Source organism: Homo sapiens, chromosome 3 (genome assembly GCF_000001405.40).
Source record: "Homo sapiens chromosome 3, GRCh38.p14 Primary Assembly".
NCBI lineage: Eukaryota > Metazoa > Chordata > Mammalia > Primates > Hominidae > Homo > Homo sapiens.
Window position 1 is genome coordinate 35,596,656 of NC_000003.12, and position 5,492 is coordinate 35,602,147.

Genomic DNA, 5,492 nt, shown 5'->3' on the forward strand with positions numbered 1-5,492 from the left:
ACCCCTAACTCAGTAGCTTAAAACAAAAATCATCATTCAGCTCACAGTTCTTTGGGTTGACAATTTAGCCTAAGTCAGCTAAACGGTTCTTTTGTTCTCAGCTGGACTCCTCCTTGAATCCGTTATTAGCTGCACTTCCACAGAATAATTCTGCTTCTGGGAGTAGGCCAGCTATTAGCTGGGTTGATGTGGAAGCAGTAGGACAATGTGTCTCTTATCCTTAACAGCCAAGCCACAGTGAGTCTCAAAATGGCTAGGCAGGCTTCTGAGAGAGCGAACATAAGCATGGAAAGCCTCTTTAAGGACTAAGCTTGAAACCCACACTTACTCATGTCTGCTACATTCTAATGTCCAATACCCCTAAACTGTATTCAAGAACTCTACCTCTTGATGGGAAGAAGAGAAAAGTCATATTAAAAGGCATCTTTGATACAAGGAATCAAATAATTGCAACTATTTTCGTAAATGATCTATGTTATCCTTTTAACTATACATTTTTGTATTTCCTTTAGGATCCTTCATCATTACATGTCAAATCCAAGACAAATTATAAATCTATTTTGAATATCAGGATTTAGCCCGAAATAAAAAGATGCCTTAACATTTAAAATCTATTTTTATAGTTTAGTGCATTGACAGATAAAGGGTAATTTTGTGTACTTAGAACATTTACTTTTGTCATCCTCACAACAATATCTGGTACAATGGTGAGTGTTGTATCCATTAACTTACTTAAATAGTAACAAAAATACTAGGAGATAAATGCTATTATTACTCATAATTTACAGAAAAGAAAACTGAGTCTTAGACATTATAAGGAACAGGGACTGAAACACTGCTTACAAGCGTAAATCATTTTTAAGTTGTAAACACAAAATCTCTTGATAATGGTCACCACTTCAATAAAAAGGCATCTCTATACATTTCCAATTTCCTCTCCCCATTCACAGTTCAAAATCTTCCAGAAACAGCTCATATTTTCTAGCAATGATGATTAAGCTTACTTTGCAAGGTGCTCTGCGGAGCAAGAGTGTAAAGTCCATGTCATCACAGAGTTGACAGCCTTTGTGGCCTAAATTCATTGAGCACTGAAATAGCTGGGAAATATAGAATAAAAACATGTGTGAAACTCGAGCTTCATGCCTTGGATTTTAGAGGAAAAGGAATCCTACAGTGGATCTAGAAAGAAAGTCCAGCTTCAAAACATTTCATCTATACTTGCATTAGTTAAAGATTAGGGAAGCTTCTCTTTGAGGAGGAAAATATCCAATGAGTTGGTCGAATAGTCATGCCTACTTCAGTGTCTTTTGTTTTAATTAGATCACAGCCTAGCTGATTAACTGAATCAGGAGTAGCAGACTTGAAATGGAGCCAAGAGAGTTTATGGGAATTGAAAGAATGGGGAAAACATGGAAGGGATAAAAAAATGTATTTATGTATTCATCAACCAAAAAGATTGCTAAGGTTGGAACAGCACTTAGTCTGATGGCAGAGATAGACAGATTAAAGTGAAAATGATCTTGTTCCAAGTTATTATTTGGGTAAAATTTAAGTGATTTCCCAAGATAGGAAGGAAAACCTAGACCTGTGAAGAAATTATATTCGTTATTGTCATTTTTATTTATGATTATTATTAGATGTTGAGAATGCTCAGATTTGCAATTTCCTGAGTGGAGATGTGCAGTATCAGAAGTGGTTTTACTGATGAGGTGATATTTGAGCAAGGTCTTAAAGAGCGAGTAGAACTATGCCACATATTCTGTGCTGCCTATCTCTGAATACTGAAGTTGTGTGCTGTGAGATGTGATTGTTTAGCAACCATGGCTTGTGCTCTGCCTTGTATAACAGAGGCATAGCATGACAAGTAAAGGGTAACAATTATGGAACTCTAATTGTGATTTCCAGGGCTGTTTCCTTAGCTTTGGGAGTTAATTTTAATAGCTACAGAAATCGATGAGATACCATGCTTTGCTGTAAGTCTTTCACACAGTGATGCTGCTAATTGCTCCTTAACTGCAGGTCTGACTGTTATCAACCTTACTTTTCAAGTGATCCTGTTCTGGTGTAATTCTCCTTTTAATAGCTATTTGTACAGAACCAAAGAACAGCAGAGCCAGAGTGGCCCTGGGAGACATCTTGTGCAGAATTCTATCATCAGAGATCTTTCTCCAGACATAATCCTATTTAACATTGTAAACAAATCAAAGAGGAGTGCTCTACTTGAGGAGCCTTGTGTGGCCTGATCTGTTCAACCACTGCCCAGATTCATAGTTGTAGTGACCCCAAAAGAACCCCAAGGGCATCTTGTCGCATTTTCAAAGACAGTGAAAATCAGTCTTATGTAAAACCTGTTTTTACAGGCAAGGGAACTGATACCCAGAAAAGTTAACTGATTACTTGAGGTCACACAGAAAAGAGTTGTCATTGCTACCCAAGATTCATGTCACCTTCTACTCTACCATAGTTAATATCCTATGTCCCTTTAGAAATAAATATCATGGATTGGGCACATAGTTAAGAATATTAGTTTGGCCACTTAGAATGAAGCTCATTTTATGCCATCTCCTCACATGAAACAACTTGCCGAACAATTACTCTCAAAACCTCAAGAGCTTGTTAACAACACAATACTAACAATGTGAGTTCCCTCACATGACTCCAGAATTAATGAACTAAAATTTCCCAGGTCAGAAGGAGAGATCAGAAATCGCATAAGATTTTTCAGGTGATTCTGAGGCGGTCCACCAGGAACTGGGCTCAGCTTTTGTCACTAGGATGATTGTTCTAGGGACATTGTGACTTATAAAACTTTGGAATTTAGAACTAGTGCAGAAGAATATATGAATGGTATTTAACAAAGACAGGATGATCTCAGCTGGGGAAAAATTACATATTGAGTTTATTAACATCTGTAGTTTGGACAAGCAGTTATCTTCCCACTTGTCTCATTTTACATACTGCTGCTTAAAACTCATTGCTTGTACATTATCACATAATCACAAAGTCCAATGGGAAGGGCTATGGAAGTTATACTAATAACTTCCTTCAGTAGTCCCTCTATATGTAAGCATCTGACAGTGAGAATCTGCTAGAGTAGGATTTTGGCCTCCAAAATTAAGACTGCCAAAGGTCTCTTGGGAAAGCTCAATATATGTATTCTAACTTCATGATGTTTACATCGGAAAATTCAAATTCATCCACAGAAGGTAAAGCAGGGATGCTTTTCTTTGTAAAATAATTAGTTTTACAGAAATTGAAGAGATCTTAGAGATCAACAGTTTATCCCAATATTTTTACAGAGAAGGATCAGGTCCGAGGTCCATACCTAGACACCTCATTAGTAGCAGGGTTAAGATTTGAATCAAAGGCTGGGAGAGTAAATATTTTGAATGAATTGCTAAATGGGATACAAAATAAAGTTCCCCAAGAATGATGTATACATGAAATTTGAATAAGGTCAGAATAAGTGAAAACCAAATGGGATAAATAGGAAATTAAATTCAAATTAGCAAACAGATTACCTGGAAACTTTGGAAATAATCACTATTGTTTTTCAACTTGCATTGATTTTAAATAAAATTTGGATACACAGTAGTATAAAAGGAAGCAATTCATCCTCTCTAGTTCCTCAGCAAAGGGGAGAAGAAGAAGCAAGGCCACACTCAATTCTTAAGATGCTGTGATTTTAGATGAAAAATTTTCTACAAAACACAAGCAAAAGGCCAGCATAATAATGAAAAAGATTCTAACAGCTTTCAAAACAACAACAACAACAACAAAAATACTCAGCCTTTTAAGCAGATATGCACACCCTTTTACTTATTTTTTTGTTTGTTTTTTAATTTTACTTTAACTTCTGGGATACATATGCAGAAGGTGCAGGTTTATTACATAGGTATACCTGTGCCATGGTGGTTTGCTGCACCTATCAAGGTTTTAAGCCCTGCATGCATTAGGTATTTGTCATCAAGGTTTTAAGCCCTGCATGCATTAGATATTTGTCCTAATGCTCTCCCTCCCCTTGCACCCCACCCCCTGACAGGCTCTGGTGTGTGATGTTCCCCTCCCTTTGTCCATATGTTCTCATTGTTCAACTCCCACTTAATACATGAGTTTTATACACTGAAATGCAGTGTTGGACAATATTCATGATCTACTTGGATGTGACTTTGGCTATGGCTTAAACAGTTCCTGTGAAAGGCATGTGAAAGGGGCAGTTCTACTTCCTGATCAGAAGCAAATCAAGGAGACTGTGCTGTCCTCACTGCCTTCCCACTCGCAGCTATCTCTTTTTGCCAGCCCTGGCTGGAGCAGTGGGAAAGGAATAGGGGATACCAGAAATGCTGCTTTGGATGGTGAGGTGGTCTCAGTCTGTGCGCCAAGGCAGCAAGTGTGGTACTTGGACAGACATTGTCTTCACAACCAAATAGTGCAATAGCTTTGAACTTTGCTTTCTCCCCAAGATCTTGCACAAATTATTTCTTCAGTCTGATTTTGTGCCATCTCTGGGCCTCAGTTTTCTCATTTTCAAAAGGATAAAGATGAGAATACTAGCTCTGTCTCATATTTGCTGAGTTTATTTATTTTCATACCTGAAGCAAAATAAGTTTTTCATAATAATTGGTCTCTTCTATCTTCACCATAGCCTCCATGCCCAAATGTCTTTCCTTTGACACGTATATCAGTTACCTTGTATTGTATAATGAACCAGCCCAAAAGATTTGAAACAACAAACATTTCCTGAGCTCATGGTTCTGTAGATTGGCAATTTCAATTGGACTTTATGGTGTGTTATGGATTTGGCTAATCTTGGCTGGCGTTTCTCATGCCTCTTCATTCAGCTAGTAAGTGAATCAGGGCTGTCTGAGACACAGGGGGCCTCACTTCGTGTGGAGATCTGGGGCTTGTTCCCATGAAAATAATGGAGGCACCAAGAAAGCAGATCAGAGTGGAAACTGTAAGAAAGCAGAGTGGGATCTGTAAGACCTCTTGAAGTCCAGGCTTGGAACAAATGCAATGTCTCTTCTGTGAGTTTGTTTTGGATAAATCCAATCATAAACCCAGCCCAGATTTATGGGTTACACAAGAAATTCCATCTCTTGATGGAGAAGCTAAAAAAATTGGTGCAATTTTTGAAATGCAAGAAAAAGCAGGTAAGCTCTTTCTAAACAGTATTTTAATTGATGGAAGAAGCATGGTACTACATGGCAGAATGCTTGGCTCCTGGTCACTTCACTGAATCTGACTATTATCATCCACAGTGCAGAGCATTTGTACCAAATGCTCTATTATTTTAATTTAAAATTGCATCTCCTTGTGATTCATCCCAGGGCTAAGACAAGCATGCATGCCATGCATTTATTTATTTGGGAGTTGGGGGCTTCTCCTTTTATTTCTTTCTGACAGGTGTCCTGGGAAATCCTTCTGGAGCAGCAATCTGGCCCTTCTTATCATTTTGCCAATCTGATTACCCTAGGGTAGGGTGATTTAAC